Raw genomic sequence first — 13,838 nt, forward strand, 5'->3', positions numbered from 1 at the left:
TGCTGTGGTGCGATCTCGGCTCACTGCAACCTCCACCTCCTGGGTTCAAGGAGTTCTCCTGCCTCAGCCTCCCAAGTAGCTGAGATTACAGGCACCCGCCACCACTCCCGGCTAATTCTTGTATTTTTAGTAAAGACAGGGTTTCACCACGTTGGCTAGGCTGGTCTCAAACTCCTGACCTCAGGTGATCCACCCACCTCGGCCTCCCAAAGTGCTGGGATTACAGGCATGAGCCACCGCACCTGGTCACATTTTTTTTTTCTTAAACTAAAATCTTCCACATTTAAAACTAAAGCTGAGATGTCTTTTTGGTGTTAGAAAAACCCAAATATGCATCAGAAGTAGGTAATTGATGTTTGAGAACAAGCACTAATGAAGCTATATCAGTTCCCATAATAAAAGCAGTTCTGCTGATCATTGTTTTGAATTTCAGGGATAGTCTTATAAACTAGCATATTTGCTAAAGCACATTTGAATGTTGTCTGTGTCTCCTGTTTATTGCCTCCTTTTTACTTTTATATTAATATATTAATGGAATATATAGCTTTTGCATGTGGAGGCCTTTTTTTTTTTAAAGCCTCTTATTGACCTGACAAAGGAATCAGCAATTTTTAGCAAGAAATATGTGGAATTTTATTTTACTTTGGAGATGGGGTCTCACTCTCACCCAGGCTGGAGTGCAGTGGCACGATCTCAGCTCACTGTAGCCTCTGCCTTCTGGGGTCAAGTGAACGTTCCACCTCAACCTCTGCCTTGAGTAGCTGGGACCACAAGCATGCACCATCATGCCCAGCTAATTTTTTGTATTTTGGGTAGAGATGGGGTTTCATCGTGTTGCCCAGGGCGATCTTGCGCTCCTGAGCTCAAGTGATCCACCCACCTTGGCCTCCCAATGTGCTGGGATTACAGGTGTGAGCCACCGTGCCCGGCCTTTATTTTTATTTTGCAGAGACAGGGTCTTGCTCTGTCACCAAGACTGAAATGCCCTAGTGCCATCATAGCTCACTGCAGCCTCAACCTCTTGGCCTCAAGCAATTCTCTACTATGCTAGGCTAATTCTGTTTTTTAAAAACATCTTTTGTTGACACAGGGCCTTGCTTTGCTGCCCAGGCTGGTCTCGAACTCCTGGCTTCAAGCAGTCCTCCCGCTTTGACCCCCTAAAGTGCTGGGATTACAGGGGCAAGCTACTGCTCCCAGCCTATTTTCTTTTCTTAAATGCTCTTTCACTTAAGATTAAATGAGAGCTCAGCTGTAAATTTAAGGTTAAAGGGAGTCAGGGGAGATGGTGATGAGAGGAAATGATTACAAGTTGAGTTCAGTGGGGCAAATAAGGAACTCTTCTGTCTCTCCATGCAACATTCTGTTCCCCTTCATCCCACAAGTTACTGGAAACCATATTATCTTATGGCTCAGTAATGCAAAGATGCCTCACTCCATCTAAATAGCCTTTAGAGGTTTTAATATAATGATCTATTGGGAATGTAACGATAAGTTAATTTTTAATACATAGCTGATATCTTTTTTGTATTTCTTTTGATCAGAAAGTAGAGATAGGAGTTGCTAAAATTTTGGGGACTGCTGGTAACATTCCAAGAAAGTGTGTGAAGCTAAATCACCTACTGACAATTACTATTTAATCTCCCTTTCTTCATAGCACATTGTTCTTAATGAGGCTGTTTTGACATCCTACTAGATGCGAGATAAGCAGGCCAGACCTTAAAGGGTGCGGGCTCTGAAATGTTTTTTTGTGTGTGTTTTTTTTGTTGTTGTTTTTTTTCTGTTTGTTTGTTTTTTTTTTATTTGAGACGGAGTCTCGCTCTTGTTGCCCAGGCTGGAGTGCAATGGGGCGATCTCAGCTCACTGCAACCTCTGCCCCCGGGTTCAAGCGATTCTCCTAACTCAGCCTCCCAATTAGCTGGGATTACAGGCATGCGCCACCACACCTGGCTAATTTTGTATTTTTGGAGAGATGGGGTTTCTCCATGTTGATCAAGCTGGTTTTGAACTCCCGACCTCAGGTGATCCACCCACCTCAACCTCCCAAGGTGCTGGGATTACAGGCATGAGCCACCGTGCCCGGCCCTGAAATCTTTTAAGTCTCTTTGGCTACTAGGCCCCAGGTTGGTCACAGGACAGCAAAAAACAGGACTGCATTTCATCAACAGCAGACTTGAGGAGCATCATCAGGAACCAGTAACAATGAAAATAGAAGTCAGAGATCATAGAATAACATTATTTTAAACCATGGGACCAAATAGGGTAATTTGCTGCCTGTGTGACTTTTCTGATTTTTAAAGTATGGGCATGACTCTTTTTGAAAGATTATTATGAGTAAATTTTAGAAAACTGACTGTTTTATTTATCGTTTGTCAGTACGAGGATGTCGTCCAGGAAAGATTGTGCAGATGACTGAAGCAGAAGTTCGAGGCTTATGTATCAAGTCTCGGGAGATCTTTCTCAGCCAGCCTATTCTTTTGGAATTGGAAGCACCGCTGAAAATTTGTGGTATGTAAATGGGTAAAGTTGGAAACAACTCTTTTGAATCATGTTTTTCCTCCCATGTTTAAGATCTAGAGAAAACATTTTTTGAAATTTTTGTATAAAACAGATCAGTAGGCTTTACTAAATAAAAGTGTATAAAAATTGAAACTTATAAAAATGACAAGTTACAGACAAGATGAAAATACTTGCTATATATCAACAGATAAAAGGAGTTCTATTTATAATATATAAAGAGTTCTTATAAATAAGAGAAAGGCGATACAGTATAAAAATAACATAGGAAGAGGAAGGTCTTAGAAGAAATTCAAATGGCCAGTAAACATAAGGACGTCAGCTTCTTTTTTTAGTAATCAGTGATGTGCAATTTAAAGCAAGTCTCCAACTCTAGTCAGATTATAAAAAAATACCAAAGATTGATGTTTAGTGTTGTCAAGGATGTCACGAAAAGGGCATCATAGTACACTGGTTAGAAAAAAATAGGTGTATAATTTAGAGGGTCAATATGGCGATATCTGTGGTCTTCTAACTTTGATGTTATTTAAATTTGTTTTGAAGATTATACTACTTTATACCTTGTATTCTTTTAAGTTTTACAGTGACTTTTTTACAGTCCTTTGTACAGTGCCCAGCAAATAAGAGATACTCGCTAAGTAAATGTTTGTTTTTTGTTTGTTTGGTTGGTTTTTCTTTGAGACAGAGTTTCACTCTTGTTGCCCAGGCTGGAGTACAATGGCACAATCTTGGCTCACTGCAACCTCCACCTCCCGGGCTCAAGTGGTTCTCCTGCCTCAGACTCCTGAGTAGCTGGGATTACAGGTGTGAGCCACCACGTCTAGCTGACTTTTTGTATTTTTAGTAGAGACAGGGTTTCTCCATGTTGGCCAGGCTGGTTCTGAATTCCTGACCTCAGGTGATCCACCTGTCTTGGCCTCCCAAAATGCTGGGATTATAGGCATGAGCCACCGCAGCTGGCCAATAAATGTTTGTTGAATGGATCAGTTAACTTAGAATATCACACCTTCAAGTAAGAGGTAGTAGTTCAGAATTTGGGGGAACTAATCAATCCCCTGTATAAACTTAAGCAAATGTAGTTACTTAGAGGTGATCTTAAAATTATTAGAATTAAAGTATTCTTTGAAGGTGTTCTTTAAAATGTAATATAGAAATAACTTGAAGGTAATGGAAGTTATTTGTACTACATATTTCTAAAGGTTTACTATTTGTCTCCATATTTGGTGTTAAAAAGTGACGTAAGTTAAACTACCAGATAATAAAATTGTTTTAGTTACCTATTGTTGTATAATAAATCATTCCAAAACTTTGTGGCTTACAGCAACATTAATTTACCATCTCACAATTTCTGTGGGTCAGGAATTCAGGAACAGCTTAGTGGGTCCTCTGGCTCTGGGTCTCTCACAAGGCTCCAATTAAGGCGTGATCTCGGGCTGCAGTCATCTGAAGGTTGAACTGTGAAAGGATTCAGTTCCTTATAGACTGATGGACTAAGAGCCTCAGTTCCAAATGAGCTGTTGGTCAGAGGCCTCCCTCAGTTCTTTGCTACGTGGGATGCTTCATTAGACAGCTGGTTTCATCAGCGAGCATGGAAGAAGGTGAGAGAGTGCAAGCAAGATGAAAGTCACAGTCTTTTGTAACTTAATCTTGGAAGTGACAGCCCATCTCACTTTCGCTTATTAGAAGTAAGTCACCAAATATAGCCCATACTCAAGGGTAGGGGAGGATTACACAGGATGTGAACATTGGGAATCATTTCATAGAAGCTGCTTATAACAGTAACCAATTTTTCTAAAACTGACTCTTTCTCTTTTTAGGAGATATTCATGGACAATATACAGATTTACTGAGATTATTTGAATATGGAGGTTTCCCACCAGAAGCCAACTATCTTTTCTTAGGAGATTATGTGGACAGAGGAAAGCAGTCTTTGGAAACCATTTGTTTGCTATTGGCTTATAAAATCAAATATCCAGAGAACTTCTTTCTCTTAAGAGGAAACCATGAGTGTGCTAGCATCAATCGCATTTATGGATTCTATGATGAATGTAAGTGAAAATAAAGACTTAGAAAAGTAATTCATGGAAACATTGCCTAATAATTTTCTGGTTCAGAAGAGTTGCTTTGATTCAGAGTTTTTTCAAAATAAGATCTGTCAGGCATAGGCCAGGAAGAGGAACCTGAAACTGGGAAACATGTTACTAATTAAATTGGTTCCTTGAGATCTCCTTGGTCATATTTCAGATTGACTGCAGCTTACTTGGCTGAAGAGGCTCTTTTAAAATTAGTTTATCTAGTAAACTATCCAGGTGAAACAGAAGTCACTGTAGGCAGTGGCCCTTGGTTTTCTAGTGTCCATTAAGGTTTTAACTCTCGGCATTCTTGTGGTATGACAGCTTTTATTAGTCCTGTGTCACAAGAATTATTGAGAAGTTCTGTGAAACTATTTAAAAGTCAAAGTTTAATATTATTAGAATTTAAATCTATGTCTGTAAACCTTGAAAGATAAAGATACTGAATACTCTGGGGTATCCTTATTTTACTCTCTTTTTCATTAGTAGGAAATCAACGATTTGGTATTGTATGTTTCCAAGTGTTATTATTAAAATACCCTACTAGGTTCAAATATGGTCTTTTGGTTTTATTAGAATACGGGAGTAAGTATTTATTTGGTTAATTACTACTTAGAATCAATTATAATCTTCAAATTGAATTTTTTATTGCTGTCTTCCCTATTAGAATCTACTTTTGCTTTTTTTCAATCCTTAATTATGTTAGAGACCTATTCAAACTCATATCTCCTTGATTTATATAATGATTTGACAAAGTTTGAGGGTATGTTATATGTGCAGGCACTATTGTGAACACAGTGCGTGAAGCAATACACAATACAGATGATCTCTGTTCTCATGGAGCTTACATTTTTTTTCCCAAGTGTTTCTCCAGCATTGATTGGCCTTCCCTGTCCAGCCAAATAGCAGGTCATCAGCCTAGCTGGGACTGTATGTCCTTGTAGTGAAAAAAGGCTGTATCAGGCTTCCAATGCTTAATGAAAATAGCCTTTCTTTTTTCTTTTTTCTTTTCTTTTCTTTCTTTTTTTTTTTTTTTTTTTTTGAGACGGAGTCTCGCTCTTCTTGCCCAGGCTGGAGTGCAATGGCACGATCTCAGCTCACTGCAACCTCCGCCTCCCGGGTTCAAGCGATTCTCCTGCCTCAGCCTCCCGATTAGCTGGGATTACAGGCATGTACCACGTTCCCTGGCTAATTTTGTATATTTAGTAGTAGAGATGGGGTTTCTCTGTGTTGATCAGGCTGGTCTTGAACTCCCAACCTCAGGTGATCCACCCGCCTCGGCCTCCCAGAGTGCTGGGATTACAGGTGTGAGCCACGGCGCCCAGCCATGAGCTTACATTCTAATAGAAATGATTCTGTATTTGATTTTGTATTGTATTTTTATTTCTGAGATGTAGTGTGTGGTTTGAATTATTTAAATCAGACTAGCAGAGAGAAAGTGGGTTGGAGTACATCAAACTACAACATTCTTCCTAAAGCTACATCAGAAATGGAGGTATATTTTTAAAGGATAAAAGATAGGCAAGAATGTCTTTGGGGATAGAAATGACATCAAATGAAATAATGTATGGGAGAGCAACTTGTAAACAGTGCTTTGAGTTATGTACTTACTCATTAAGGGGCAGGTTGTGGCATAAAAGCACAGGAAGTTAGTACTTGTGTCTTTCATCCCTTCCCTAGCTTAGTAGTTGTACCTTATTACCAAATTCAGGAAAATCGAGTAACTCTAAAAAGGTGAACATACACTTGAGGTTGTCTTTGTCGTAGCTTTTTATGCTAGGCTACAGGAAAATTATAGCCTTTGTGCCTCTATTTATACTTGCTATAGTGCCAAGTTGTAATTCACACAAAAGAATACTAGTTAAACACTTGGAAATTTTCCTTCCTTGGCAATAAGTTTATACTGTGTTAATCAATGCATTAGTGTTAAAATGGACAGTTTCCAGAGGCACCTTTTCACTTCTGCTTGCTTATTTGGCTAGGTATTTAACTAGTCCACACACTGAACGGAAAAAAATGAACTAAGAGCCTATTAGACTGTTTAAAAATTGCTATATTATACTGATCTTAAAAGACAAAAATTGTTTGATGTATTTCATAAAACACCTAGCACAATCTTTGGGATTTTTTAAGTGTTAAATTTGATTAGGTTTATTTTATTTGTCAGAAATTCTATGTATTTATGATGTACAACATGATGTTTTGAAGTATATATACATTGCAGAATGGTTAAATCCCGCTGATTTAACATATGCATTACCTCAAAAAGTTAGCATTTTGGGAGAAAACAACACTTAAAATTTACTCTTAGCATTTTACAAAGATACAATATAGTGTTAACTGTAGTCACTGTTATACAATCGATCTTCTGTATTTATTCCTACTACCCAACTGATACTTTGTATTCTTTGACCAACATCTTCCCATCCCACCCCTACCCCCAGCACAATCTTTGAAGTCTTGGTAACTTTACTGAAGGTATTGAATGTTTATTGTAGTTGTTGCCTTTTTGAAAGTACGTAAATAACATCTTTGCATTGTAGAAAAAGTTCTTCTTTATAGATAAACATGAAGAAATGAAGAAAATTGAAATCATTCATAATCCTGCGGCTTTGAGATAACTGATGAGAACAGTTTTAGATTTTTTAATTTATTCTATCTGTTCTTTTTACAGGCAAACGAAGATTTAATATTAAATTGTGGAAGACCTTCACTGATTGTTTTAACTGTCTGCCTATAGCAGCCATTGTGGATGAGAAGATCTTCTGTTGTCATGGAGGTAGACTAGTAAATTTGCCTTACAGATTTTTTTTTTCTTCTATTATTCGGAAAATACCTATAATAATCAAGAGGCTGTGGGAAAACAAAGCAGTGCTTGTATGAAAACTCAAGTGATTAAAACTGTTTTAAACATGGCTAAACCTCTTTTAAAAATTAGAAATTTATTTATAAATGAAAACGTAATGCTTCTTTAAATACAGTTTCACATATAAGGAGTGTAACTAGAGTTGTTTGAGAAAGTCTCCTTTGCCTCAAGTTTTAACAGAAAGACACCCCTGCTATTTATTAGTAAAAATGAGAGGATATCTTCCTGCCTATATTGAAATCTTTCATCAGAATCCAAATAAAATTGAGTTTCATATTCACATATATCAAGAATTCTAGGCTTCATATAATATATTTGCTTTAGTATTAACAATAAAATAATAAAATAATCTTTGGCAGATTGGTAGGTTACTCTGTATGGCTTATGAAATAAGCTTGAAGTTTTTTGAAAGTTTATTTGAAAAATTAATGTATATGTCTAACACCTAGCTAGTAGATAGTGTATGATCTGACCATCTTGAAGAGTTAAAAACCTGTTGCTAAGATACATTTATGAAACAGATAATTGAGTAATAAAAGGTATTTAATATGTCAGAACTTATTAAGACACTATGAGAAGTCAGGAGGAGGAAAGACTGGGTACATGTGTGTATGGAGGCATGGGTTTTAGAGGATAAATAGGCTTTGGAGAAGTTAAAAGGACTTGAGACACTCTTTGTTGTCTAGTTTAGGGAATGTGTAAGAACTGGCCTGACTAGAAGGTCAAGTACATGCTGGGAAATGATGGAATCAGATTATGGAGATTTGACTATTGAGCAACGGAGTTTGTTGAGTGATTTAATAACCGTATTGGGTTTTTGTACAGGGAAGTAATTTAATGGAAATAGTGTAAGAAAATTAGTTTTTCATCAATATACGGGAAGAATTAAAGTGGAAAAACGCTGAAAAGATAGATGCACTTGCCTAGGCCCGAGGTAATAAATGGTTTATTCTCTGGCAGAACATAATTCACTATATTAATTGAAATATGTTTTCCAGTAGACATTAAACACGTAATGAATTGTAGTTCTTGTACATTAGTGTAGCTAAGGATAGAAGTGTAGCAGTATGGATACGAATGTTTAGCTTCATTCCTTGTGATGATACTTGGATTGCCTATCAGAGAGAAATAATAGCTTATATACCACTTCAAAGATTGCAGAGTATTTTTATGAGCTTTTCCTGTTAATCCTTCTGATCAATAGTTTATGACTTCATGAAGATAATGAACATGTTGGAGTGGGATGTGAAAAGAAGGTCTTAGGGAACCAAGTGAGGCACTTTCACTTAGAAGTTAAAATGTTTAAGATTAGTGGTAAGAACTGGCAAAAGTGGTAGGAAGGGTTGCAGTTGATTATGTTTCTATGAAGGCCAGGGAATGATTGGAAAAAAGAATGGTAGTTTTTTTTTTCCTTGGGAAGTCTTTTGAAATATAAAGGAATTTCATTTCCCTGGTAGGGAAAAATGGAAAAAAACAATTATAATGCTGTATTATATCAAAGTGGAATTCCTAATAACTCTGTGTTGCCCTTTAAGACATTAAAAGGGGCAGGGCGCGGTGGCCCACGCCTGTAATCTCAGCACTTTGGGAGGCCAAGGTGGTTGGATCATGAGGTCAAGAGATCGAGACCAGCCTGGCCAACATGGTGAAACCCCGTCTCTACTAAAAATACAAAAAATTAGCTGGATGTGGTGGCGCGCGTCTGTAGTCCCAGCTACTCGGGAGACTGAGGCAGGAGAATCGCTCGAACCCGGGAGGTGGAGGTTGCAGTGAGCTGAGATCACGCTACTGCACTGCAGCCTGGGTGACAGAGTAAGATTCTGTCTCGAAAAAAAAAAAAGACGTTAAAAGGAACACTTTTCAGTATCTTTAATTTCACATAGTGAATCTATTTTGATTAAATGCTTTTTATTCGGTGACTGTTAAAATATTAAAATTTTTAGCTGTTAGTACTATGTCTCATCTTTTTATTTATAGGATTGTCACCAGACCTGCAATCTATGGAGCAGATTCGGAGAATTATGAGACCTACTGATGTCCCTGATACAGGTAAGTGTAGAGAGAAGTTTAATTGTTTTGTGTAAAGTGTTTTCATATTTGAACTTGATTACATTTAGTGGAAGTAGGATTGGCTTATGTAATAAATAAAAGAGCTTTTTTCATAGTCAATAAGCCAGCTACAGATTACTTTATTTGCAGTAATACACAATTTTTCACTTTGCACTGATCCTCAAAATGCGGAACCTTTTTATTTATAGTCATAATGTAGTTATTTGATCACAAAAAAGATTTTGCTGTTGAGTCCTTATACCTATTTTTCTAAATTCCCTCATTCATACTAGCATTGGTTATGTTCTTCAAAAATTTGTTAAATTAGACAAAAGTTTTTTAATTAAAATAATCTATTCTTTGCTTCTTAGGCAAGGATACAACTACCTTCTTTTCAAATGTCTAGTAGTTTTTTGTTATTTTCTATGTCCTCTATTTGAAATTTTTAGAGCTTTTTTTCAAGGGGGTGTGGGAGGGATTTCAATCTGTTGCCCAGGCTGGCCTTGAATTCCTAGGCTCAAGCAATCCTCCTGCCTCTTCTGAGTAGCTAGGGGACTCCAGGCATGTGCCATACCTGGCTTAAATTTTTAGAGCTCTTAAGGCTCTAGAGACCTGTGGTCAGTTTTGTGAAAATTACATTGGAAATCTCTGGGAAGGCTGGGAGCAGTGGCACTCACGCCTGTAGTCCCAGCGCTTTGGGAGGCTGAGGTGGGCAGGATCACTTGAGGTCGGGAGTTCCAGACCAGCCTGGCCAACGTGATGAAACCCCATCTCTACTAAAAATAACAAAAATTAGCTGGGCATGGTGGTGCGTTCCTGTAATCCTAGCTACTCAAGAGGCTGAGGCACGAGAATTGCTTGAACCTGGGAGACAGAGGTTGCAGTGAGCCGAGATCACACCACTGCACTCCAGCCTGGGTGACAGAGTGAAACTGTCTCAAAAAAAAAAAAAAAAAGAAAAAAGAAACAACAATCACCACAAAAAATGCTGCTCAGAACTACACATCAACCATTATAAATGGTATAGATCCTCTGATGTCAGTAGCCATGTAATACACTGTATGTTGTAATAAATTGTGTTAGGAGCTTTTTTTTTTTTTTTTTTTTTTTTTTTTGAGACAGAGTCTTGCCCTGTCACCAGGCTGGGGGGCAGTGGTGCAACCTCGGCTCACTGCAAGCTCTGCATCCCGGGTTCAAGTGATTCTTCTGCCTCAGCCTCCCGAGTAGCTGGGACTACAGGCGCCCGCCACCACACCCGGCCAATTTTTTGTATTTTTAGTAGAGATGGGGTTTCACCATGTTGGCCAGGATGGTCTCGATCTCTTGATCTTGTGATCCACCCACCTTGGCCTCCCAAAGTGCTGGGATTACAGGCGTGAGCCACCACACCTGGCCTGTGTTATGAGCTTTTTTACATAACACGACTTGTTGTGTTGATTATTTTTTAAAGTATGCATTTTATCACAGTTTTTGATTGTAATTATAGAATACATTTGACTAAACCTAACAAACTGGTATTTAAATAGTATTTTATTTAAAATGCTGTTTTTAGGCCTGGTGCACTAGTTCATGCTTGTAATTCCAACAGTTTGGGAGGCCAAGGCAGGAAGATCACTTGAGGTGAGGAGTCGAGACCAGCCTGGGCAACATAACACCCATCTCTACAGAGAAAAAAAAAATTTTTTTTTTTAATTAGCCACATGTCGCAGCACCGCGGCTACTCAGGAGGCTGAGGCAGGAGGATCACTTCAGCCTGGGAAGTTGAGGCTGCGGTGACCTGTGATTGTGCTCCTGCATTCTAGCCTGGGTGACACAGTGAGACCCTCTCTTTCAAAAAACACCCAAAGTGCTATTTTTAAAATAAGGTATAATATAAATATGTATTACTGGTCATTCTTCAGAATATCTGTTTATAGTTCAGATGTAAACTGATCTAGTGTGATATGCTAGGCTTCTGTTTTTAGCATGTTTTATTTATTTTAGCGTATTTTAATGAGAAGTTTTCAAGATGCTGAAAACAGTTATTTTGATCTTTGATAGTGTCTGCAACATTCAGAAATTTAATTTATAAGTTAATACATTATTTGAAGCAGCCTAGTTGATTGTGATGCTAGCTCATTAAACAATAAATCTTGACTCTGAAATTCTTTTTGAGACAGAATTTCACTCTTGTCGCCCAGGCTGGAGTGCAATGGCCTGATCTCGGCTCACTGCAACCTCCACCTCCCAGGTTCAAGCAGTTCTCTTGCTTCAGCCTCCCAAGTAGCTAGAATAACAGGTTCCTGCCACTGTGCCCAGCTAATTTTTGTATGTTTAATAGAGACAGGGTTTCACCATGTTGGCCAGGCTGGTCTTGAACTCCTGACCTCTGGTGATCCGCCCACCTCGGCCTCCCAAAGTGCTGGGATTACAGGCGTGAGCCACCATACCTGGCCTGAAATTCTTATCTAGACCCTGTTAAGGTTAAAGAATTCCAGATTGTTGTTGCTACCATTATTTGATTTTTTTAATGCATCCAGAGTGTCATGTTTCCTAAACCTCAAACTCTATTCTAATTTTATACAGTTTTATTGTCTCACTGAAATTATAGATTCTTGAGATCGAGACCATCCTGGCTAACACGGTGAAACCCCATCTCTACTAAAAATTCGCTGGGTGTGGCAGTGGGCGCCTGTAGTCCCAGCTACTCGGGAGGCTGAGGCAGGAGAATGGCATGAACCCGGGAGGTGGAGCTTGCAGTGAGCCGAGATCGTGCCACTGCACTCCAGCCTGGGTAACAGAGCGAGACTCCGTCTCAAAAAAAAAAAAAAAAAAAAAGAAATTATAGATTCTTAATACCTTAGCTTTCTACTGGAAAGAGGCTGGAAAGTATGAAAGCATTATTAAGCACTGGGTGGGTGTATATTTTCGAAGAGTCAGCTTCAACCAGAAAGGGCTTAAGAATTGAGACTGACTATTCCAGTGGATTTTGTGTGCTAGTGAATTTCTTAAAACAACATACAGGGAGCTTGGGATATATCAATGATAGAGATTGAATACATTGCCACTAATTCTACAAATGGTTTTATAATGCCTCTATCAAGATATGATGTACTGTAACTGAAAATGAAGATGCCCTTTCCTCCTAAACCATACTATGATGTTTATGGATTATTTAAAATTCTTAAAACTGACTTAACTCTTTAAAAATTATCTTCTTGGCTGGGCGCGGTGGCTCACACTTGTAATCCCAGCACTCTGGGAGGCCGAAGCGGGCGGATCACGAGGTTAGGAGATCGAGACCATCCTGGCTAACACAGTGAAACCCCATCTCTACTAAAAATACAAAAAATTAGCCGGGCGTGGTAGCGGGCACCTGTAGTCCCAGCTACTCGGGAGGCTGAGGCAGGAGAATGGCGTGAACCCGGGAGGCAGAGTTTGCAGTGAGCAGAGATTGCACCACTGCATCCCAGCCTGGGCAACAGAGCGAGACTCCGTCTCAAAAAAATATATATGTATCTTCTCTTAGCCACTGCAATTCTTAGAAAATCACCATCACCATCTCAACATCCACCCTTCTTTTAATATCACTACAGTTGGACTTTTACCCACTCCGTTACCCTCAATCACCAAGAAACTTGCATTGAGGTCTGATGATTTAATTGTAAGTGGCACATTTTTGGTCTTCGTCCTACTGCCCTTGTTCATGGCACATTTCCTACTTTAGGACGATTGTTTCCCCTTTCGGGATACGTTTACTATACTAAGCCCTTTGTCTTGATCATTCCTTCTCAATACCTAATGTTCATTCTCCCTCATCTACCTGCCTATTAAATGTTTGAATTCCTCAGAATTCATTTGCTGGTCTTCTCACTTTGTATTCCTAAGGTGGTCTGAGTCCCTCTTAAGATTTCCACTACCATTAATATGATGACAATACTCAAGTAAATATTTTTAACCCTGACCTCTTTTCCAGGGCTCCAAACATTACCAAAGTCAAGGATCTGATCTGATTTTGTTCTTCCACATTTAAAAAAAAATCCTCAGGGTCTCAGTAGAAAATGTTTTTTTTTCGCTCAAGTGATCTGTAGATCAAATACAATTCCAGTGAAATCACAATTGAGTTTTTTATGGAATTAGGCAATTGTTTTTAATGTTTATGTGGAAGAACAAAAGATCAAAAAGTAACCAAGACAATCCTGAAAAAAAAATGGAGGATACTAGCCCTACCAAATATAAAGACTTATTAAAAAGCTCTAGTCTGTTATTGGCTCAGGGATAAGTAAAATAGACTAACAGAATAGACTGTGGTGCTCAGAAACAGTGGAACCGTAAGGAAAGGATGAACTGTTGAGGAA

The 13,838-nt window shown here is 38.6% G+C and overlaps 1 protein-coding gene across 2 annotated transcripts in view; it reads left to right on the top strand.

Annotated features, from left to right (window-relative positions):
* The window catches only part of PPP1CB (protein phosphatase 1 catalytic subunit beta), a 51,337-nt gene that overhangs the window by 22,874 nt on the left and 14,625 nt on the right, over window positions 1–13,838 (top strand). For both annotated transcript variants that reach the window (NM_206876.2, NM_002709.3), the window contains 4 exons: window positions 2,374–2,505; window positions 4,332–4,562; window positions 7,261–7,365; window positions 9,430–9,501. In NM_206876.2, coding sequence (NP_996759.1) covers window positions 2,374–2,505; window positions 4,332–4,562; window positions 7,261–7,365; window positions 9,430–9,501 — 540 coding nt within the window. The remainder of the gene's footprint in view (window positions 1–2,373; window positions 2,506–4,331; window positions 4,563–7,260; window positions 7,366–9,429; window positions 9,502–13,838) is intronic.

Source organism: Homo sapiens, chromosome 2, assembly GCF_000001405.40.
Source record: "Homo sapiens chromosome 2, GRCh38.p14 Primary Assembly".
Classification (NCBI taxonomy): Eukaryota; Metazoa; Chordata; class Mammalia; order Primates; family Hominidae; genus Homo; species Homo sapiens.